The sequence below is a fragment of the Homo sapiens genome, chromosome 1, assembly GCF_000001405.40.
Source record: "Homo sapiens chromosome 1, GRCh38.p14 Primary Assembly".
Lineage (NCBI taxonomy): Eukaryota > Metazoa > Chordata > Mammalia > Primates > Hominidae > Homo > Homo sapiens.
In genome coordinates this window covers 197,166,725-197,191,336 of record NC_000001.11, presented here as the reverse complement: position 1 = coordinate 197,191,336, position 24,612 = coordinate 197,166,725, and the positions used below count along the sequence as shown (strand labels likewise).

Below are 24,612 nucleotides of genomic sequence, written 5' to 3'. Positions count from 1 at the left end.
TACAGGCGTGCACCATGCCCAGCTAATTTTTGTATTTTTTGTAGAGACTGGGTTTCACTATATTGCCCAGGCTGGTCTCAAACTCCTAGGCTCAAGTGATCTGCCCGCCTTGACCTCCCAAAGTGCTGGGATTACAGGTGTGAGCCACCACGCCCGGTCAAGAAATTTATTCTTATACTCAACATTGTCTTTAATGTGTAACAGTTTGTGAGATAAATAATATTTAATAGAGTATTATATATTTAACTCTAAAAATTAAATTTACTGAAATCTGGACTAAAAAAAATCAGGTATATTACCTTTCAGTTTATCTATAAAGAGCTAGGTTCCTGAATGTGTTTAAAATGATAATGATACCTTCTTAAAGAGCTCATCTATGCCTACTTGTCTCATTATGAAAGGAATCAGTACTTGATCCTGGTAATTACTGTCAACATATTCACATGGAATATTGATTTAACTAATATAACCTTTTCCTAATAATCTTTTTCTTTTCCTCTGATAGATTTCATCCTGAAAATGCACAAGAATTTATTTCCATTAAGAAGACTAAGAGTGAAAGTTGGAAATGTGATGTAAGAGTTTTTAATTAAAACAAATTAGAAAACCAAAGTAAATGCAACGTCTTTTGGGGAAGTAAAGTAATTAGGTTTTAAAGTAATGTGACTTAGCTTATCTCACTTTTAGAATTTTCCTTTTATATAAAATTATTCTAATATATTTTGTAAATTAAGCCTGGTATAGGTTAGTTTTTAGATGATGGACCTAAACAGTGGAAATCCTAGTTTTTATTTTCATTGTAATCACCATACCATGTATTTATGGTTATGTATATAAACTGTGACATTACTGTTGCACAGAGTATAAAATGTTAGACTTTCTCCCCCATTTCTGGGTATGTGGTGTTAACATAATAAACTATATCAAAACTTAGTGGCCTTAAATAACTATTTTGATATGTCTCACCCTTTTGTGTGTTAGGAATCCAAATTTGGGGCAGGGATTTGCTAGGTTAATTCTTCTGTTCTGCTTGTTGTCAGCTGAAGTCACTCAGCTGTTTTCAACTAGTGCATGGTCTGGTCTGGTCTGGGAACACTTCCAGAGTGGCTCACTCAAGGCCGAGTATGGTGGTTCATGCCTGTAATCTTAGCACTTTGGGAGGCCTAGGCGAGTGGATCACCTGAGGTCAGGAGTTCGAGACCAATCTGGCCAACATGGCAAAACCCCATCTCTACTAAAAATAAAAAAAAATTAGCTGGGCATGGTGGCACATGCCTGTAATCCCAGTTGCTCTGGAGACTGAGGCAAGAGAATCACTTGAACTCGGGAGGCAGAGGTTGCAGTGAGCCAAGATGACACCACTGCACTCCAGCCTGGGCGACAGAGCCAGACTCCATCTCAAAAAAAACAAAGTGGCCCACCCACGTGACAGGTCACTTGGTGTTTGTTCTTGGCGAGAATCTCAGCAAGGACTGTTTACCAGGAACCTTAGTTCTTCTCTACTTCGGTCTTTTTTTGAGGCTTCTTGAGCTTCTTTCTAGCATAGCAACTAAGTTCCAAGAGTGAGTATGTGTTCCAAGAAACCTAGATAAAAACTATTAGACTTTATGGCATAGTCTCAGAAGTCTCTGAAAATCACTTCTACTACATTTTGTTGGCCAAACAAATCACTCCAACCTGGGTAGATTTAAAGAGAAGGGAATTAGATTCCATTTTTTAACAGGAGGAGTACCATCGTATTTATGGACATCTTTATTCTACAGTACCTCTAATTATTTTTTCAGTATTTACATTAATTTTTTTTTTTTTTTGAGACGGAGTCTCGCTTTGTCACCCAGGCTGGAGTGCAGTGGTGTGATCTTGGCTCGCTGCAACCTCCTCCTCCTGGGTTCAAGTGATTCTTGTGCCTCAGCCTCCCGAGTAGCTGGGACTACAGGTGCACACTACCACGCCCAACTAATTTTTGTATTTTTAGTAGTGATGGGGTTTCACTATGTTGGCCAGGCCGATCTTGAAGTTCTGACCCCAGGTGATCTACCCGTCTCGGCCTCCCAAAGTGCTTCCCGGGATTACAGGGGTGAGCTGCTGTGCCCAGCCTAGGTTAATCTTTTTTAAGGCATCCCTAGCTGTTATTTTTGCCTTCTTTAATCCAAGATTCAATTTATATATACAGCAAATTTCTCACAATTTCTCTGATTTCAGCTTCTAGAAATTGAAGTTAATTATTTATTACAGTATTTTAGTCTGCATAAGATAGTGTCTTCCCCTTACCAAGTTTCATCATCCTTGGCTATAAAATGTTAATAATGCCAGTTGCATCTATCTCACAGAATTATTGTGAGAATCAAGAAAAATAATCCATGAATTACTTAGCGTTGTGCCTGGTATATATAATATGTGCTATGTCATTATTGTTGGTGCTGTTACTATAGCAGCCTACCTCTTTTTAAAAACCTGATGAATGTCAAATTTTTAGACTGACCACTTCAAGAGATACACTTTAAAATAATTTTTCTGTGACTTCTTATTCAGATTCTTATTCAAATATATGGCAACACTGAAAAAACCTTTTATTCCTGACATAAGTGACTAAAAAACAATATATTTCATGGATTTAGAAATTCTGACTAGAATTAAGATAGTATGATTATTCTGTATCCCTACTAGAAATGTAAAGAGTTGAAATTCAGCTACCTTTAGTACTAATTTAAAATCATTCCTTACTTCCTCTAGAGCATTTTTTTCTGCACAATTAGAATTGAATTTTACTTTTTGTAAGTTTTCTGTTGGGAGAAAAGTCTCTTTATTGAATTTATATGGTTTTCTTCTCATTACAAGCTTAATATTACAATTTTTAATTCAGGTTCTCTTAACATTTTGTTTGCATTTTAATTTAGATTTGTAAGAAATCTTTTACTCGAAGACCACACTTGGAGGAACATATGATTCTACATTCTCAAGATAAACCTTTTAAGTGTACCTATTGTGAAGAACATTTTAAATCACGGTTTGCTCGGTTAAAGCATCAAGAAAAGTTCCATCTGGGTAAGCAAGTTACTTTTTCTTAAGGCAGTCATGACAATTTTAATTATCACATCATGCTGGAGGAGCCTTCTATAGCTGAATTACTCTTTTTCTTCTAAAAGACTTTTTAAGAGTGGTTTTAGGTTCACAGCAAAATTGAGAGGAAGGAATAGATATTTCCCATATGCCCTATGCCTCCACATATGCACAGCCTCCCCCATTATCAGCAGTTCTTCACCAGAGTGGTACGTTTGTTACAATCGAAGAACCTACGTTGGTACATCATAATCGCCCAAAGACTCTAGTTTAGACTAGGGTTCACTCTTAGTATTGTATTTTGTGTTGTTTTAGACAAACCTGTAATGACGGGTATCATTATAGTATCATACAGAATAGTTTCACTGCCCCGAAATTTCCCTGTGCTTCTCCATCTGTCTCCCACACCAACCCCTGGCAACCACTGACCTTTGTATTTTGTTTGTTGGTTCATTTTTTTTAGATACCTCATCTACTATTTGATGATCTTTTTACTGTCTCCATAGTTTTACCTTTTCCAGAATGTCATATGGTTGGAATCATACACTGTGTTGCCTTTTCAGGTTGCCTTCTTCCACTTAGTATAGTGCTAAATGATACAATTGGCCCTCCATATCTATAAGTGCCATGTCTGTGGATTCAGCCAACTGTGGATTGGAGATATTAAAAAAAAATAACAAAACATAACAATACAACAATAAAAAATAATACACATTTTAAAATATAGTATAACAGTGATTTACATCACATTTCCATTGTATTAGTATTAAGTAATCAAGAGATGATTTAAAGTATATGGGATGATGTGCATAGTTTCCATGTAAATACTACACCACTTTAGATAACGGACTGGAGCATCCATGGATTTTGGTATCCTGGGCCATCCTGGAACCAGTCCCTCATGGATACCTAGGGAGGACTTTATTCCATTGTCTGGATATACCACAGTTTATCCATTCGCTCACTGAAGGATATCTTGGTTGCTTCCAAGTTTTGGCAATTATAAATAAAATTGCTATAAACATCTTTGTGTAGGCTTTTATGTAGACTTAGATTTTCAATTCCTTTGGTTAAATACCTTGGAAAACAGGGGCTGGATCAGATGGTAAGAGTATAATTAGTTTGTAAGAAACTGTCAAATTGTCTTCCAAAGTAGTTGTATCATTTTACATTCCCATGAGAATGTCTGTCACTTCATGTTCTTGCCAGCATTTGGTGTTTTCTGTGTTCCAAATTTTGGCCATTGTAATAGGTTTGTAGTGGTATCTCATTGCATTGATTTGCATTTTCCTGATGCATATAATGTGGAGCATCTTTTCATGTTTATTTACCATCTGTATATCTTTGGTGTGGTGTCTGTTCAGTCTTTGGCCCAATTTTTTTTGGTTTTTTTGTTTTTTTGTTTGTTTTTTTGTGACAGAGTCTTGCTCTGTTGCCCAGGCTGGAGTGTAATGGCGCAATCTTGGCTTACTGCAACCTCCACCTCCCAGGTTCAAGTGATTCTCCTGCCTCAGCCTCCAGAGTAGCTGGGATTACAGGCGCCTGCCACCATGTCCAGCTAAGTTTTTTGTATTTTTAATAGAGATGGGGTTTCACCAGGTTACTCAGGCTGGTCTTGAACTCCTGACCTCAGGTGACCCACCCACCTCGGCCTCCCAAAGTGCTGGGATTACAGGCGTGAGCCACCACGCCTGGCTGGCCCATTTTTTAATCAAGTTGCTTACTTATTGTTGAGTTTTGAGAGTTCTTTGTATATTTTGGATAACACTTATCAGATATTTCTTTTCAAGTATTTCCTTTCATCTGTGACTTTTCATCATCTTGACAGTTTCTGTGACAGAGGAAAATTTTAATTAAGTCCAATTTATCCATTGTTTCTTTCATGGATTGTGCGAAGTCATTGCCAAACCTAAGGTCATCTACATTTTTGTGATTCATTTTGAGTTCACTTTTGCAAAGGATGTAAGGTCTGTGTCTAGATGTATTTTTTTTTTTTTTGTCTGTGGATATCCATTTGTACTAGGACCATTTCTTAAAAAGACTATCTTTACTATATTGTATTGGCTCTGCTTCTTTGTGAAAGATTAGTTGACCATATTTATGTAGGTCTGTTTCTGGGCTCTGTATTCTGTTCTGTTGATCTTTTTTTTTTATTTTTTATTTTTGCCAATACTACACTGTCTTGATTACTGTAACTTTATAGTAAGATTTAAAGCCAAGTAATGTCAGCCCTCCAACCTTATTTTTCTCCTTCAGTGTTGTGTTGGCTCTTCTGGATCTTTTGCCTTTCCATATTAACTTTAGAATCAGTTTGTTGATATCCACAAAATGACTTTCTGGGATTTTGATTGGGATTGCATTGAATGTATAGATCATGTTGTGAAGTTGAGTCTTTCTTTCCATGAACATGGGATATCTCTTCATTTATTTCGTTTTTCTTTGATTTCTTTCATCCGAGTTTTGTAGTTTTCTCATATAGATCTTGTACCTATGTTGTTAGATTTATACCTAAATATTTCATTTTGGGGGATTGTTGAACTACTCTTGGTGAACCTTGAGTATTGGCTTAGGCAAAGAAAGTCATATAAATTGAAAGGAGTACTGTATATGTCACAGTTCTTGGAGATGTGTAAATGTGTTTTTTTGTGTGTGTTGGGGGGTTTTTTTGGTTTGTTTTTTTTTTTGGTGACAAATGTGCCAGTGGGCATAAACTGTGCATTTATTCATAGTTGATGTTGCATAGGTTTGTGAGTGCTTAGAATGAGACATTCTTGTTTTGGAAAAAGATAATTTTTCAAGGAGTAGAATAAACTTAGTATATTTGGAATGCGCTATAGTATTTAATGAATTACCTCCCTAATGCTTATGGCCAAGGTGGAGAGTTGTGGTCTAGATGGTGGTATACTTTGGTAAATTTCTGATTGTTAATCCCACTAATGAATTTTGTCATTCCAGGTAGAGGTCCTCTCCATGTTCAGTTCATTACTTTTGTTAACAACTTAGATAAAAATATACACTTCATTGCTTATGAAATTTATAGATGTCATAAAGCTATCAAGGGTATTTAGTATACCAGAAAATAAACATATTTAAAAAATCTGTATGCTGTACAATAGGTCAAAACAAATTAAGTTAAAATTAATTAAGAATAAATACAAAGTTAGGCTGTGTGCGGTGACTCACGCCTGTAATGCCAGCACTTTGGGAGGCCAAAGCTGGCAGATCACCTGAGGTCAGGAGTTCGAGACTAGCCTGACCAACATGGAGAAACCTTGACTCTACTAAAAATACAAAATTAGCTGGGCGTGGTGGCGGACGCCTGTAATCCCAGCTACTCAGGAGGCTGAGGCAGGAGAATAGCTTGAACCCAAGAGGCGGAGGTTGTGGTGAGTCAAGATCGCGCTATTGCACACCAGCCTGGGCAACAAGAGCGAAATTCTGTCTCAAAAATATAAATAAATAAATAAATAAATAAATAAATAGTTGTAAACTTAAGGAAGTGATCTGACTTTTAGTCATTAAGTCTTTAAGAACTATAAAATAGTTTATCATCCAAACTACTCACTTTACAGATGATCTTAAAGGCAGAGGCTTTTTGGACACAGTGTGAACCAATAATGTGATATGATTTACAAAACAAATGTAGTTTTAAACTATATTAATAAAAGTGTATTTTTCAGAATTAGGGAAATAATAGTCTGATTTTGAATTGATCTGGAAAATTGCATTCATTTCTGTATACCACATTTAAGATGGATATTGACAAATATATATTTTAGAGATGGGTAATTTTGGTGATGTAGAGTCTTGAAATCTTATCATGTGAAAAACATGGTCCTTGAAATTTTTTGTCTGGGAAAGGAAGATAGAGCAGCTGTCTTCAAATACTTTCAAGGCACTATTGCGCAACAAGGGATTCTTAATCTTTGTGAGTCTAGTATATAAGACTAGTATATGTTGGAAGATTATTTACCTGAAGCTTAATCTCTCCAAATTGCCTTTACTAAGTTGTTCTTTCATAGTATTCAGTTTCAGCACTTCTAAGAAGCCATCATGTAGAAACAGTTTTTATAGTTACCAAACTGTAGTTGACATGTTCATGATTCTGTTTCATGGGAGAAATTTCTTTAGAGTTTAGTTCCAGAAAAAGTAGTTTTTATTGGAGAATTGGTGCACTTCCTTCTTTTTGATTTGAAAATTTTAGGTAATCTTTTTGGTTCTACCTTGTAGAAACATCAGAGGGAACTATAATAACTTTTTAAGTGTTGGAACTTACAAACTAAAGTAACTTGTCTTACACAATAGTTACTTTCCCATCAGTGAAATTATACAAGTATACAAGCATATGCTGAACTTACCTTACTAACTGTTAGAGCTGGTGAAGAGGGCATTCTTCAGAAGTGGTTGAACTGGAAGATTTTTATGACTTGTTAAGAGATTCTTCTATCATGCTGCAGCATACCAATAATGAGAGGTGTTCCAGAAATGTTAGGCAGTAAGGCTTAGCTCCCCTGCTATCTAATGTTCATGGCGGAAAATATACAAGGAAAGTACATTCGACATTCAAAATAGTAAATATTTATGGAGCAACTGCTAAATGTATGATCAGCTCTGTGTTAGGATCTGGGGATACTATTTCTGCCAAATTAAATTACGGCGCAATAGGTAATCTAACTAGTAAATAAATCATTACATTTTACTACTGTACACCCACAAATATTTTACAACTGATTAGGTAATTTGTATGATTTTTAATAAGAGTTGACATTTACTGGGTTAGGTTGACATTTACTAGAAGAAAAAGTTTAATAGGTGTGGCATGATGTAGAAGTGGAAGTAGAAGACTTTCTAGCCAGCCTTGTTTTCTGAGTCTGACTTAGCCACTTACTAGGTGATCTGGAACAGCCTCTCAGACTTCCAGTTTCCTCATTTGTTAAAATGAAGTTAATACGTACTTCTTAGATACTGTTGTGAGGATTATATGAGGTACTGTATAAGTGCCAAATGTAGAGCCAGGCATAGTTTTCATTCTCTTTCTCTGAATGTATTGTCATTTCTAGTATTATAGTTTTCAGTCTTTCCAAGACCTTTGAGAAATATGGTTTGTGACATAGTAGCTTTGCATTTTGGGCCACTATTATTAATAAACCAAATAGAGTATTGTTATAAGTATTTTCTGTATTTGTGTGTGTGTACATATGTATACATATATGTATACATGCATATATAAAATACTCAAAGCAATATTATATATATATAGAGAGAGCTTCTTTTGCATTCCGTCTCTATGTTTCTGTTCCCTTGAATCACTGTACACTTCAGATAAGTGCTTCATGCAGTTTGGTATATATCACAAGCACCTGGAGACCTTATTAAAACGGATTTCCCAGAGTGTCTGACTCAGATAGGTCTGGCGTATGGCCCCAAATTTGTATTTGCATTTGGAACTTGTACAGTTTGCAATTTGCACAAGTTCCCAGGTAGTGCTGGTGCAAATGGTCTAGATATCACATTTTGATAATGACTGCTTTAGATTATTCAAAGCAATACTCATACTGTCTACATTAGGAATATATATTCTGTTAAATCAGAGGGAAAGATATGTATTTAATGCAATCTGAACAGTTAAAGGAGAAGAATTTTTAATATATATGAATATATATGTGCAAAAGTTGTAGTTTGGCTTTTAAAAGTCAGAACTTGGCCAGGCATGGTGACTCACGTCTGTAATCTCAGCACTTTGGGAGACAGGTGGGAGGATCACTTGAGCCCAGGAGTTTGAGACCAGCCTGGGCAACCTAGTGAGATACTGTCTATATAGAAAAAATAAATAAATAAAAGAGGGGAGGCTGAAGTGGAAGGATTGCTTGAGCCCAGGAGGTTGTTTAAAATAGGTTTAGCTGCATGCAAAACTGGATATCCAGTATAGGAAAAAAATGCAGTTGTTATTTTCTTTGAAGAATCCTGATAAGTAACTGAACATTAAAGAGAATGCTTCATTTCTTCCTTTGCCCAGCTGAAGCCGCCAGCTATACAGATAGTCATATTTTATAAAAAGTTTTACTAGTAGATATTTCATTCTTTGACTAACCACACATTTTGCATAATAACCTTATTTTGGCACGTGTATTTACTTCACCTTTTTTTTTCAGCTATGTAAGTACTGACTTTCGTTTTCTCAATTTCTTAGAGCCTTTTTTTGGTTCAGAGGAGGTGGAGAGATTTTTCATAATACTTAACACAGTGCTTGATGTGAATTAAGAATAAATAAATACTTGTTGAATGAGTTAATAAATGAGTAAAATATTTAGATCCCATGAAAAATGAAATATTAGAGGTTTTAAATGAGAATCCATTAAAGATACTTAATACAATGTACATTTTGAGGTCATCTCTCATTTCTAATGTGTAAAACACATTGAAATTTACCCAGAGCTACTGTGGCTACCAAGCAATTTTGCTTATAGTTACGTTTCTGAATTTCAGCATCTTAATTCTATTTTCTTTCCATTGTGCTATTATGATTAATTCATTAGAATTCTTTCTTCAGTTTGTCCTTCCATATACTGAGACATCTTCTTGCTAATATATAGCTTCTTTGAGCTGTATTTACTAAACTTCTTTTTTACGCATTCTTTGTCTTTCTTATATTTTGTCAGTCAGTAGAACACTGTCTTGTCTCCAGTTTTTTATTTGGTAAAATCATAGTGAAATTCAGTATCCAACTAATGTCAGTGTTACTATGAGAGGCCTGGGCTTAATTTTGTATCACCAAATAGAAATATTTCCAAACTATAAACTCTCTTAAGTCCTCCATTCATTCTTCCAAAGTTTTTTATTACCCGCTTTCCCAAAAACTTTAGTATGCAGCCATTTCTACTTTGTTCCAGTCTGATTTCAAACCAGGAATTGGCCATTTCAATTTGTTAACTCATTAGTTTGTTCAGCATTCATTCTGTTTGTTAGATGCTGAGCCCTATACTTGGTTATAGGGATATGGAAATGTTATTCTAGGAATAAATAACCTAGAAGAGAAATTGCAGTGTATTATGACATATGCACCAATAGGATAGGCATGAACTTACAGCATACCTATTAAATTTAACTTAGTATCTCCTCTTTAAACTTTAAATGCACACTTTTTTTTTTTCCTTTTTAGGTCCTTTTCCATGTGATATATGTGGTCGCCAGTTTAACGACACTGGAAATTTGAAACGTCATATAGAATGTACTCATGGTGGAAAGAGAAAATGGACTTGCTTTATCTGTGGAAAATCAGTACGAGAAAGGTGAAGAATTATCTGCACACCCACAAAAATCCTAGTACTATTATGTAGAAATAATCAATCAATATGATTTATAGGAATTAGGGTAACATAAGACACAAAATGCATGAATTGTGCTTTAGTTTGAAATATAAGGAAAAAAGGAATTACACAAATGTTATGGAAGATGACATGGATTCAAGATTTGCAGGTTTTAGATGGATGATTTAATGTACATATTTTATGTCTTTCTGAAACCCCACTAAAACTAGATTAAGGGTTTTTGTTTGTTTTTTAAAAAGAATAAGCTACAAAGATAGGGAGAACAGAAATGTAACATGAATGACACAGGTTTGGAAGCTATAAAACAGATGGATCAAGGCAAAACAAGAATCCCAAAGATAACCTTTCCATCTTTTACTATAACTATTTAACAGGTAGGGATCTGGGAATATCTTTAGAGATATTTTCCACAAAGCTGGGTGTTATCTACAGACTGTCATATTGGTGGGCCTTGTAGAAGAGCACCATCTACTGGCAAAACTCTACTTTTATTTCAGATTCATCCTTTAAACTTACTAGGTATGGGATTGAAATACAAACCAAGTACAGTCATGCGCCGCTTAATGATAGTGCTATGTTCGGAGAAATGCATTGTTAAGCAGTTTTGTCATCACACAAATATAGAGTGTACTTATGCAAACCTAGATGGTATAGCCTACTACACATGTAGGCTATGTGGTTTAGCCAGCCCATTGCTCCCAGGCTACAAACCTGTATAGCATGTTACTGTAGTGAATACTGTAGATAATTGTAACACAGTGGTAAGTGTTGATATATTTAAACATACTTAAGCATGGAAAAAGAACTGTAAAAATGGTATAAAATATAAAAAAGAATATATGTGTTTGTGTAGGTTACCGATCATGAGTAGAGCTTGCAGGACTAGAAGTTTCTCTAGGGGAGTCAGTGAGTGAGTGGTGAGTGAATGTGAAGGCCGCGGACATTAGTGTACACTAATGTAGACTTTATAAACACTGTACATTTAGGTTTCACTAAATGTATTAAAATTTTTTCCCTCAAATGAACAGCAGCTTACTGTAACATTTTTATTTTATAAACTTTTGATTTTTTCAACCTTCTTACTCATTTAAAGTAACACTTAGCTTAAAACACACATTGTACAGCTGCATAAAGATATTTTATTTTCTATAAGCTTTTTTATATTTTTAAATTTTTTATGTTTTACTTTTTAAACTTTTTTTTGGTTAAAAACAAAAGACACAAACACAAACATTAGCCTAGGCCTACACAGGGTCAGGATCATCAATATCACTGTCTTCCACCTGCACATCTTGTCCCACTGGAAGGTCTTCAGGGACAGTACATGCATAGAGCTGTCATGTCCTATGGTAACCATGCCTTCTTAGAGAATACCTCTAGAAGGACTTGGCTGAGGCTGTTTTACAGTTAGTTTTCTTTTTTTTTTAATAAGTAGAAGAAGTACACTCTAAATCATGATAAAAAGTATAGTAAATACATACCAGTAACATAGTCGCTTATCATTATCAATAATTATGTACTGGACACAATTGTATGTGCTATGCCTATATACAGTTGGCAATGTAGTATGTTTGTCTACAACAGCATCACCACAAACATGTGAGTAATGTATTGTGCTATGATGCCACTAGGTTATAGGAATTGTGTAGCTCCGTTGTAATCTTATGGGACAGCATTGTTTATGTGGTCTGTCATTGATTGAAATGTCATTATGCAGTACATGACTGTAGTAGTGATAGCTAAAAGCCTGCAGAGGTCAGTCATATTTCCCTTTCACTTTATTTCCCCTTAAAATAACTTTGTTCATTATTACTCAGCACTTTAGATATGTGGGGAAGCTCTGAAGGTTAGAACTGTAGGAATTGCTAGTGATGTACTTTGAGGAGTAATGGTTTCATAGTAGCCCATCCAGGGCCAGTGGGGCTGGAAGACTTAGGAATAGCAATAATTACATTCTGTATATAGGTTCCTTTTTCACATCAGCACCTGGAAGTTAGAAATACTACAACATTTTCTTTGCTTTAAAACATTTTTTCAATAAATACTAAGCACATATTTGGAAGAAATAGTACTGATAAACTGGATTACTTAAATATTATTAAACCCTCTCTATCAAAATTCACATCAACTTAATTCAGTGTCATAATGAGCATTTTAAAATTATACTTCTTGAAAGTCTGCTTAAGTTGTGTAATTAAATCTCTGAGCAAACCAATGGCAAATGAGGCCGAAGTATTTTTTGTTTTTAAGGAGAGAGAGCTATAACAAGCATGTTTGTATACTAGTGAGAATAGAAAAGAACAAAATTATTGTAAGAAAGAGGAGAGAATTGCCATAATATCAGTTAGCTTGAATACCTTTCTAGTAAGTTTTCCAGAAATCTATTTACTATATATAGGCATTTAAAAAATCTCGAATCTATATATTTTAATGCAGAACTACTTTGAAAGAACATTTGAGAATCCACAGTGGAGAAAAGCCTCACCTTTGTAGTATTTGTGGGCAAAGTTTTCGTCATGGAAGTTCGTATAGGTAAGTAAAACCATTTTTTCCCTTTATTAAGTAAGATAGAATTATATCTCTATTTTAGTTCTATTTTCTTATTACTTTGTTGAATTGAAACATTTCTTAGTCCTTATGATATGCAAAGTTGTGCAAAAACTTTACTGCATAGATTTTTTTTTTACTAAACATTTTATTATCTTTATTCTGTGGTATAAAATATTATTAAATATTTTCTCACACCAAGTTTGCAGAAGGCTTTACTAAGGCATTATTTAAATATTTATTTCATTACTTTTCTCTGAATGAAAAGTCAGTTAAACTTAGTGTATTTCTCCACTCTTTACTATCAAAGAACATTTTAATATGAAAGTAAGACAAAGTAAAAAACTCCCCATTCTCAATTTTCAAAAGTCTTCTGTGCATTAATAGTGATTATAACTTATTTAGTTATTTCTGTGGTTGAATCCTTGACCATATTTGCAGTTTATGAAAAGTTTTTTTCTAAATAAATAATATGTAACTACTTCTGAAATGTGTGTACAATTTTAATTTTTATTAAAATGTTACAAGGCTTTAATATATACACTTTCATTTATTATTTATCTTGCTTTAAGTTTAAATTGAATACTTCCCCTTTAGAGGTAGTCTAGTCAGTTGGTCTTGGTAAAATCAACACTTATTTTGGCAATTTGCAAGGGAAAGCTATTCCTTTCATTAGAATATATATAGAGAGAGAGGCTCTGGAGATAAAAGTAATTCAAGTTAAATTAATCTTAATAATCTGAGCCTTTTATACTGTCTTTGGGTGACTATAAAATGAGCCCCATTTTGTTCTATTGGTGTGAAGAAAAGCAGTAAGATGTAATTTTCATAAAGTTGAGTTCTTAGAAAAGAAAATTCTTAAATATCAGTTTGTAGTTGATAACAATTATCCAGAATAGGACAGATTCTCCATTATTTGCTCTATTAGTCTGTTTTCACACTGCTATAAAGACATACTTGAGACTGGGTAACTTACAAAGAAAAAGGATTTAATTGACTCACAGTTCCGCATGGCTGGGAAGGCCTCAGGAAACTTAGAATCATGGCGGTATGTGAAGGTGCAAGCAAGGCACGTCTTACCTAGGCGAAGCAGGAGAAAGAGAGAGTAGGGGCAACTGCTGGAACACTTTTAAAGCATCAGATCTTGTGAGAACTCACTGACTGTTACAAGAACAGCATGGGGAAACTGCCCCCATGATCCAGTTACCTGCCACCAGGTCCCTCCTTCAATATGTGGGGATTACAATTTGAGATGAGATTTGGGTGGGAACACAGAGCCAAACCATACCATTTACTGTATCATTTGCTATCATCATGATATGCCTAGTCACTTGTACACTTACTTCATTTGTCTGATTCTAATTCCTTTCTGATTACTCCTACTTTTTATATTTTTGAGTCTTGGCCAGTCAGCTAGATAATAACCTTAGACATTTGATAGATTCAGTGAACTAGATTTAGGATCTAATATGATGGGAAGGAATAATGTTGAGAAGTGGTTTGAGCATATACAAATGTTGAAATGCTTTCTTGAAAGAGATGAGTAGGGACCTGGGGTCAGGTGGTAAAAGACTGAAAAGGACTCTGAAAGTCATAGAAATAAAGCCAATAATGTATGAGTGGTTGAGTAGACAGCCCAGTTTTCATTGTTTATTCATCATTTATTCATTATTGAGCTTTTTCCTTCTATGTCACCAGTTTTAATGGTGTTCAATTCTTTTTTCTTTATAGACTTCACTTACGAGTACATCATGATGATAAAAGATATGAGTGCGATGAATGTGGAAAAACATTTATCCGTCATGATCACCTTACAAAGCACAAAAAAATACATTCAGGTATACCATATTTTGTAATGCTAGTTCGAAAATCCTTTTTAAATACCTGAAAGGAACATAATATGATGTTATGTTTATGTTGGCTATAAGTTTAATAATTTGGTTTATGCTCATCACTTCTTTGTAATTCTGGTTCTGAAAACATTTTTTAAAAAGCATCCAAAAGGGACATAAGTTTATGACATATTCACTGTAATTTTAATTATTTGGTAACCCTTTGTGACTATAAAGTGTAAAGTTTAATTTTAAATAAATTCTCAAAATTTGCATTTTGCATATTACATGGATATATCTAATAATTGCTATTGACAGTTCCTTAAAGGGAGAAGCCATGATAATTTTTCTCATTTTGATTGGATTTGAGAAGAAGTTGGTGAAACTTACATATTAAAAGGGAAATGATTAAAATTAGGTGCTAAAAGTGTATATTATAGTGAATTTTGAAACCCTGTCTTTGGAGAAGAGTACCTTAATAATCCTGACCAATTTCAGATCTTTATACTGTATAATTTTTATATTCTGGGGATTTCTTTCATATTTTCCTCTCAGATTGATGTTCAGGAAGTGCTAAGAGAGCCAACTCTGTGAGCACAATAATGGGAAAGAGCCATCTCTATGAGCACGGTAGAACAGGTGATTATTATTATTATTTTAAACATAATTTTTGAATATAAAGTATGCAACAGATAGTAATTTTCTGAGATGATCTCAATGAGATAGGTTGCAGTTGTTTTCACCACTTCTAACAGATACTAAAAATCTGATGACTTTTTCCATTGGAATTATGCCTTTTTATTTTTATGAGGAGAATTCTTAATTTCTAAGTCTAGAGGCCACATGCTTTAATTGCACACTGGTATTGAGACAGTAATTGTTTTTTAAAACCAAGCCTTTGTAAGTAAATGTAAGAATAGAGATGAGAAATTGGACTTACGTAGAATTTTTCATTATATTTGTATTTTGGCTCATTGCAAACGTAAGAAATCCTCACAGATGAAAAATCTTCTAAAAGTAAAGTACAAAGATCTGAAAATGTTTGGGTCCTTTTTATAAACAGTAAGACACCCTCATCTTAATTTAATGTATATCAATTTGAGGTGTTTGATATACAGACATATATATATATATATATTTAAAATTCCTAAGTTTTGAAGTAGTTTCGTTTATCTTGCTCTGTTACATTGAAATGTATGATTTGAAGTGTTCAACAAAAGGCTATTGATTCCTTTTCCAAGCGGGGAAAAGATTCACATCCATGAAATTAAGCATACATTTTTTGAAGAAAGTTATTTGAGTAAGGAATATAAAGCAAATAGTGCAGAATAAAATGTGGCTTTACTTTCCTGTTATATTTGACATCATGTGATCTTACTGTTTGATAGTTTGTTTCTGGGGATAAAAACCTGAGATGTATATTATAATGAAAATATTTGGGTCTTTATTTTAAGGTGAAAAAGCTCATCAGTGTGAAGAATGTGGAAAATGTTTTGGTCGTAGGGATCATCTCACTGTTCATTACAAAAGCGTACACCTTGGAGAGAAAGTGTGGCAAAAGTAAGTGAAAAAGCAAAATGTCTCATAGTTTACATTGGCTAAGTCTCTGAGGAAAGTTGTAACTTTTTTTGTTTACTTTGTTTAATTGAAGTTAGGTTAACCAGTTCTCTTTCTCTACATTCTGTAGCATCTCTATAGACCTAAAAGAATTCAGCAAGCATATATTTTCCTCCTTGTTTTCAGTTAATTCAAAGGCCAGGGAGGTGACATGCAAGTTAACAATAATTAATAAAAAATCTTGGCATTTGGTTGCTGAGGCTCTTTGAGAGCTAAATATACTGCCTATATATTATACTTAATAAGACAGCAGTTGTTAGGAAATGTTTGCAGTCAGAATTTAAACTTGTTTCTAATCATACTAAGCATTTAAAATATTATTTTATTTGAAGGCGCTGTGTGCTATCTTGAACATCAGCTTTTTAGTATAATTTAGATATCCAAGTTTAACTGAGGTTAGTTGCTAAGTGTAAAACATTCAAGTAATTCATGTTTTGGGGTTAGGCATTTGGGCAAATGATAAACAACAGACATGTTCTAAAGTGCCAAGAGACTTCACTTAATAGTCCTGAGCATAATTAGCAAAATGTACATAGGATTAACACGCCTCCAACCACCAATTATTTTTCTAATCTTTGCTTCTAAACTTTTTTATGGTGACTACCTCAGTAACCACTTCACATTCCAGCCACTGTTGCAATCTGACCTCTGATCTTATTCTGCTCAGTTATCAGTATGACTTCCTTGTTGCCAAATCAATAGGCATTTTTAAGTTCTTTTTTTACTGACATCTCTGCTTCAGTTCAAATTGTTTATCCTCTCCTTCCTTGAAAATCTGTATGGCTTAGCATCCATGTGGTAATTGCAAGGTATATTTTCATAGGGTCTTAGCCATGCAAGGCCCTACAGAATTTATCTTAAGTCCACTGTGAGGAAGTTAAAGTGTTTTGTACATATTTATGTTGAAAATATCACTTTGTTCATAGTATAGAGCAAGGTTTCTCAGCCCAAACACTGTTGACATTTTGGACCAAGTAATTCTTTTCTTGTGTATTGTAGGACGTTTCTCAATATTCATGGCTTCTACCCATTATATGCCAGTAGCACTTATTATCGTATCCCCAGATGTGAAAAACAAAAACGTTTTCAGGCATTGCCACATGTTTTATGGGGGGCAAAATTGCCCCCAGTCGAGTACTACTTCCTCTTTCTCTATGTGCCCATGGTGACCCTGTTTGTATCTCTGTTTATATTTACCATGGATATGAATGGAATAAGGTAAACCAAGCATACTGGTTAGGAGTCTTTTGCCAGGGTTATTATTCACAACCTCAATTCACAAAATCCAAATTATCTGTGTAAATGTTTGTTTCAGGAGTTTGACACCAGCCTGGGCAACAAAGTGAGACCCTGTCTCTACAAAACAATAAAAGAAAATAAATTATCTGGGTGTGGTGGCATGTACCTGTAGTCTCAGCTACTCAGGAGGCTGAGGCAGAAGGATAGCTTGAGCCCAGGAGTTCAAGGCTGCAGTGAGCTATTATGATGCTGCTGCAACCTAGTCTGGGTGACAGAACAAGACCCTGTCTCTAACAAAAATTAAAACAACCATCTGTTTCATCAAGTAGAATTAAGTTCATCTAGGACAGTGCTTTTTATGTTGTCTTATAAATGTTGGGTTGGATGAATTGAAAAATGAGGGACATTTAAAATCCTAGGCATAGTATGTTGGTATTTCGTATTGGTAACAATGTTCTAAACATTTCCAGTAAAACTCAATGGATATGTTAAGAGCAAACTGTTTTACAGAAGATTAAGTAGCCCAGGTTTGATTTAATTATTTTGCCATGTATTCATTCCATATGAATTGCTTCTGAGGTGAGATGGTATGGCTTTCTCAATAACTGCCACTTAAATGATAATTATTTTGTAAATATCTCAATTCTCACAATAAAATTTTCAGTTGAGAACTGTTTAACTCAAAGACACTTCTTAGGCACTATGCTGTGGTGCTTACTAAGTTAACTTTTCGGTAACTTATTGCTTTATTTCTGTCTATTATTTTGTAGTAAAAATAAAGGACTAATATTTCATTTTTAAATTTAGGTATAAAATTTTATTTATTAGTTCAAATTTATAATTTTTTTGTTAGGACATGAACTGATGAGAGCAATTTCACCTTTTTGATAAATGCGGGTTTTAAAATTGCCGCAGATTCTTTTTAATCAGCCTGAGCATCTATTTTTTAAATTTAGTTAAGGTGTAATTTACAGAAAGTGAAATTCATTCTTTTTAGTGTATAATTCTGCAAGTCATGTAATCATCACCACAATTAAGATATGGAATAGTTTCATCACCACAAAATTTCTGCCATGTCCCTTTCTAGACAACTCTTCATTTCCCCTTTAGGCCACTCTTGATCTGTTTCTACCTTATAATTTTTCTTTTTGTATATTTGGATAGCTAGTAATAATAAAAGTTCAGTGACTTAAAGCAGTTGAAAATCTACAGACCTCTTTTTATAGATTCGTTTGTTGGATGTAACTGGAAGAGGAAAAACCAGAGGCAAGCTCAACATATTAAAAGTATTTCCATGTTTCTTTGGAGTTCTATACTTTGTTAATGTGAGAATTATATACACAGTTGTAAATGAAGTTGCAACTTATTTTCATTATGTTAGTTATTAATATAATTATTAATATTGTCATATTTATTATAGTTATTAAAATTATATTGAAAAACTCAAATCTTTTTATTTTCTTAGATATAAAGCAACATTTCATCAATGTGATGTTTGTAAGAAAATTTTTAAAGGCAAATCAAGTCTGGAAATGCATTTTCGAACGCATTCAGGTAAAATTTAATGAGTGGTTCATAGATATATATATATAGAGAGAGATATATATAGTGTAATCAGAAGTAAAATATAGGCATTTAAACTTTGTTGTTCTTGGTTAAATTTCTTTGGTTTTCCCCATTAAGATTTTTACTTATTATATTGAAGTTCATGCCATGACTGAACAATATTCTCATCTTCTATTCTCTATTATGTAAGCTTCAATACTTTTAAATATTTTACAAAACTTGAGAAAACTTTTTCCATAAGATATTTACTCAACTTTTAGTTGTAATTTTCCCTTTTCTGATTGTTTTATGATTCTTCTTTATTTTGCTTTCTGAAGGCTTTTCTTAAGCCTTCAGATTAAATTCCTTTTTATCTTTTATTTTCTTCTCTTTTAAAAGAGTAATGCAAATATGACCTCATTGTCTTGTTTGCCAAGTTACCATCGTTTCATTTTCCTTTTTACATAGCCAGTCATGATTTATAGGTAGTTATAGTAAAAGGCTTTGCCTCAGCTGCTTTCCAGAAGTTGTCATTTGCAAAATCTTTCTTTTTTCTCCGTTGGGAATGTTACTACATTTTGAAATACAGAATATGTTAGATTCTTTCTTATATATTGTCTGAATCCTTGTTTGCCTTTACATATAAATTAACATTTTTAAAACCTTGTTTTCCTTAAGAAACAAGCCCATTTATGTATTTATGGCTGCTTTGTTTTATATTCAATTCGGATTTTGTCAAGCTGCTATTCTGGAAGAGAAAAATAAGTGATTTCATAAATATTAGAATGGGAAATAACTGAATTTGGGCAATATTATTAGCAAATAGTTGCAGTAAAGGATTTACTACTGATACAGTGCTGCTGTTAAAAGCAAAGTTACAGCCCTCTCCAAATAAAAAAAGGCATAATTTGGGAGAGCATAAATAAAAGTGTAAAATGAGGAAACGAACTTGATGGTATCTTCCATATCTTTTGTAAATAATTAACCTAATAGAACTCATGACTTGAAAGAGATGGTGAACTTACAGAAAGTTAATTTCAAACCATTGATGATTTAAGAACTGTACAACTTGAGTAGAAATTTAGTGCTGACTACATTGCATCAAAATTTTTAAAAACACTGATTTATAGTGATTGGCTGGTGGCCAGTGACAATGTGGAACATCAATATCTGGATATTTCACAGTTAATTGGAATTAGAAGACAAGTCTCTCTGCCCTTTGAAAATTGAGGACATTAGCTCTATGATGGAATAAGACAAAGACTATGGCTATTATGAAATGAGAGGGAAAAATAATAGAAGGCAAAAGTCAGCAAATACTTGTTGAGGGCTAGATAGTAAATGTTTTAGGCTTTGCAACTAAGAGTCTGTCACAATCATTCAGCTCTGCTGTTGTGATGTGAAAGCAGCCATAGACAATGTGTAAACAGATGAAGCATGCCTGTATTCCAATAAAACTCTATTTACCAACTCTCAATCTAAAGTGACCAACAGTCTACCCAGACAGGACTTCACAGAGTGGCTTTTGCAAGAAATGGTCACCATGTTCCCAAGTCCATTTTTGAGATTTATAGGTTCAGAGACTCAATTTTATCTGTGCATTGAGAGTTATAAGTATTGTGAGTAATTCTTCACAGTAAACACTGGGAATAGATTAGCCAGAATGTCATTAATTTACATTCTAGAAAATGAGATATTAATGTTTACTAGCTAGGGTATCTTTATCAAGGAAGCAGAATTGCTGAGTTTATTAATCAGAAGGAAAATTGCCAAATGTAGAGATAGAGTAAAATTAGATAGTAATTTTATGGGATAGTTTATCCAGGAAATGGTGAAGGATTTTGAACCATCCTTACCCTCATAGCAGGTGACCAGAAAAATTTTGTTCTTCAGATTTTTTTTTTCCTTGTTGGGATACCCTTAGTTCATTATATATATATTGCTAAATTTTTGTTTTTTAGAATTTCCTTAACTAGATTTCCTCTATAACCTTTTTTCTTCTGTTAGTATGTCTTTTCTCCATATCCTCATCTGGAGAAACAATAAAATGTGTTTGTTTCAGTTTTGGCCAGTTCAGTACACCTAATTGCTTCAAATAAGTATGTACAATCAATGCATATCGTAGGGCTTTTGAAGAGTTTGGCACTCAATAAATATTTGCTGAGTAAATAAATTTATTATGTTCTCCTATGACTCTTCTCTATTTTATTTTTTTTAAACCACACAGTTAGATAAATTAGTTGGAAAATGTATATAAGATTTTCTTGTACAGATGGCTTTTTCTAATCATGAGTTTTGTTTGTTCAATCCTCAGAATGTAGTGATTACATCTATTCTTTAACAGTTGTCTTGTTGAAACATATTCATTAAATTGGCATAAAGATGACCACAAATTTAGGACTTGATTTTAATGTTGACTGATTTTTTTATTCAAGGTGAATTTTCTTTGTAAGCTTTTTTTTATTGAAGTATAGCACACAAAGTGCACAAATCTCAAACAGTTCAATTAATTTTTATGAATGAATCCATCAATGTAGTCATGACTCAGATCAAGATATTAAAACACTACCAAGATTTCAGAAGGATTCTCTATGGCTCCTCCCAGTCAGTAACCTCCTTGCAAAGATGATGACTATTTTGACTTATATTAATAGCACCAAAAATTAATTTTGTCTATTTGAACTTCATATAAGTGAAATCATGTAGTATGTAATCTTTTTTTTCTGGATTCTTTTACCTAATAAATATTAAGTGTGGATTCCCTTATGACAGTAATTTGTTTCTTTTCATTTTCATCTTCATATGACTGTTACAATTTATTCATTCTACTTTTATGGATACTTGGTTTATATTTGCTTGGTTCTCTTAGGAATAAAGCTGCTGTGAACATCCTTGTCCATGTCTTTTCATACACATATGCATTCTTTTCTCTTATATATATTCATGGCCCTAGGATTCCTGGCTCATAGGATATGCATATGTTCTACTTTAGGAGATACTACTAAGTAGTTTTTTCAAAGTAATTGTGTCAGTTTACACCACCAGCAGCCACATATGAGAATCTCAATTGCTTCACATTTTCACCAACATTTGATACTTTTTTTTTAAATCCATTTGATAGATACGTAGCACTATCTGAGAATGGCTTCGATTTGCACCTCTGTGATGAGTATTGATGTTGAATACCTGTTCTTGTGCTCACTGGCCATTTGGATATCTACTTTTGTGTAATACTAGATTAATTCTTGTACTCATTTTTAAAAATTGGAGTGTCTGTCTTTTTCTAATGGATTTGTAGGTATTCTTTCTACATTCCGGATATATATATTACAGATACCTTCTCCTCTATGACTTACCTTTTCACTCTTAATGATGTCTTTTGATGAACAAAGGTTTTGAAGTTTAAAGACGTCATGTACCATTTTTTTCTTTATAGTTCTTTTGTGTCCTCTTTAAGAAACTTTTGCTCAACCCAAGGTCATTAATATTTTTTGCGGTTACCTTCTAGAAGATTTATTTTAACTTTCTTATCTAGATCCATGAACTTTCTATAATTTGTTTTTGTTTGTTATTAGGTAAAGGTGAAAGTTCTTTTTTTAACATATGGTTATCCAATTGCTTTAGCGCTATTTTTTGGAAAGATGATCCTTTCTCACTACATTTCATTGGCATATTGTTGTAAATTAAGTGATCATATATGTGTGCTTTGTTTGTCAACTTTTTAGTTTCAAATGTGTTTATTATTTTTGTCCCTTTGTATTTTTATATAAATTTAGAAATAGTCTGTTAATTTCCACACACAAAAATACTGGCTAGGAATTATTGGAATTTCATTGAACCTGTGGTCAACGTTTCCTTAACTGATTTTTTTTATAACATCGTATTATCCAGTCTGTGAACACCTCCATTAATTTGTTTAGATTTTTTTCAAAGATGATTTGTAGTTTTTAGTGTAGCTATCTTACACATTTTGCATTAGATTTATGCCTAGGTATTTGATATTTTTGTATCAAATTTTGACCTTTTTTTAATTTTATTTTTTATTTGTTTCTGGTATACAGGAATAGAATTGAGTTTGTTTATTGACTTTTTATCCAGTGACCTTGCTAAATTTCTATTAAATTTTATAGTTTACCCCTAGCTTTTTTTGAACTTTCAAAGCATGCAAACAAGTTATCTGTGAATAATGACAGGTTCATTTTCCCCTTTTTAGTCTTTATAACACACACTCTCTCTCTCTCTGTCTTTCAGGGTTGGGAAGTAAACCTTGTTGCTTCGGTCACATTATTGCTTTGGTCACATCTCCAGTAGAAACATTGAGAGTAGACATTATTTTCTTATTCTCATCTTCAAGGGAAAAGCTTTCAATAATTCACAATTAAGTATGATATTTTTTATAGGTTTTTTGTAGATAGTCAGATAAGGAAATTACTATCCCTAGTTTATTTAGAGTTTTTGTCATGAATAGTTGTTGAATTTTATGTTTTTTCTATATTGATTGAGGTGATCATATTTTTTTATTTATGTGGTAAATTGTACTGATTGATTTTTGAATATTAAACCTCATTTCTGGAATAAACCCAGACTGGTTTGATATAGTATCTTGCTAATGATATATTATCTTGTTTATCCTGTTCATGGTGTATTGAAGATATAATATATCCTGTTCATGCTTGGTGCGATGGCTCACAAACCCCTGTAATCCCAGCGCTTTGGGAAGTCGAGGTGGATGATTTGCTTGAGCCCAGGAGTTCAAGACCAGCCTGGGAAACATGGCAAAACCCCTTCTCTACAAAAATTCCAAAAATTAGCCAAGCGTGGTGGCGCATGCCTGTAGTCTGAGCTACTCTAAAGGCAGAGGCGGGAGGATCACCTAGCCGGGGAAATTGAGGCTGCAGTGAGCTGGGATGGCACCACTGCACTCCAGCCTGGGTGATGGAGTGAGAACTTGTCTCAAAAATAAACAAACATTCAAACACATAAATATACAGACATACACATACATATATCCTGTTCATGATATATTATCCTGTATAATTGAATTCAATTTGCTTATATTTTGTACATTTTTTTGGTTCACGAGACATATTGCCTATATCTTTTCCCTTGTAATGTCCCTGACAGGCTGTGTTATCATAACTATGCTGGTCTCAAAAGATGATTTGGGAAATAATTTATCTTTTTCAGTTATCTGGAGGAGTTTGTGTAAAATTGGCATCATTTCCTCATTAGTGTTTGCAAGAATTGACAGAATAAATTCCTGAGTTTGTTTTCTGTAGGGAAAGGTTTTAATTAAATTTTTTTGTTGTTGTTGTTGTTTTTGAGACCGAGTCTCACTCTGTCGCCCACACTGGAGTGCAATAGCACGATCTTGGCTCACCGCAACCTCCACCTCCTGGGTTCAAGCGATTCTCCTGCTTCAGCCTCCTGAGTAGCTGGGATTA

The 24,612-nt window shown here is 33.7% G+C and overlaps 1 protein-coding gene across 5 annotated transcripts in view; it reads left to right on the top strand.

The window, feature by feature from the left end:
• The window catches only part of ZBTB41 (zinc finger and BTB domain containing 41), a 47,612-nt gene that overhangs the window by 9,957 nt on the left and 13,043 nt on the right, over positions 1 to 24,612 (top strand). For 2 of the 5 annotated variants that reach the window (NM_194314.3, XM_047419671.1), the window contains exons 4-10: positions 506 to 575; positions 2,898 to 3,045; positions 10,220 to 10,349; positions 12,825 to 12,920; positions 14,667 to 14,773; positions 16,222 to 16,327; positions 19,089 to 19,177. In NM_194314.3, the coding sequence (NP_919290.2) occupies positions 506 to 575; positions 2,898 to 3,045; positions 10,220 to 10,349; positions 12,825 to 12,920; positions 14,667 to 14,773; positions 16,222 to 16,327; positions 19,089 to 19,177 (746 nt within the window). Of the gene's footprint in view, positions 1 to 505; positions 576 to 2,897; positions 3,046 to 10,219; positions 10,350 to 12,824; positions 12,921 to 14,666; positions 14,774 to 15,322; positions 15,411 to 16,221; positions 16,328 to 19,088; positions 19,178 to 23,419; positions 23,748 to 24,612 lie in introns of those variants that run through there. The other 3 variants (NR_135153.2, XM_011509507.4, XM_017001205.3) reach the window with 3 other exon arrangements.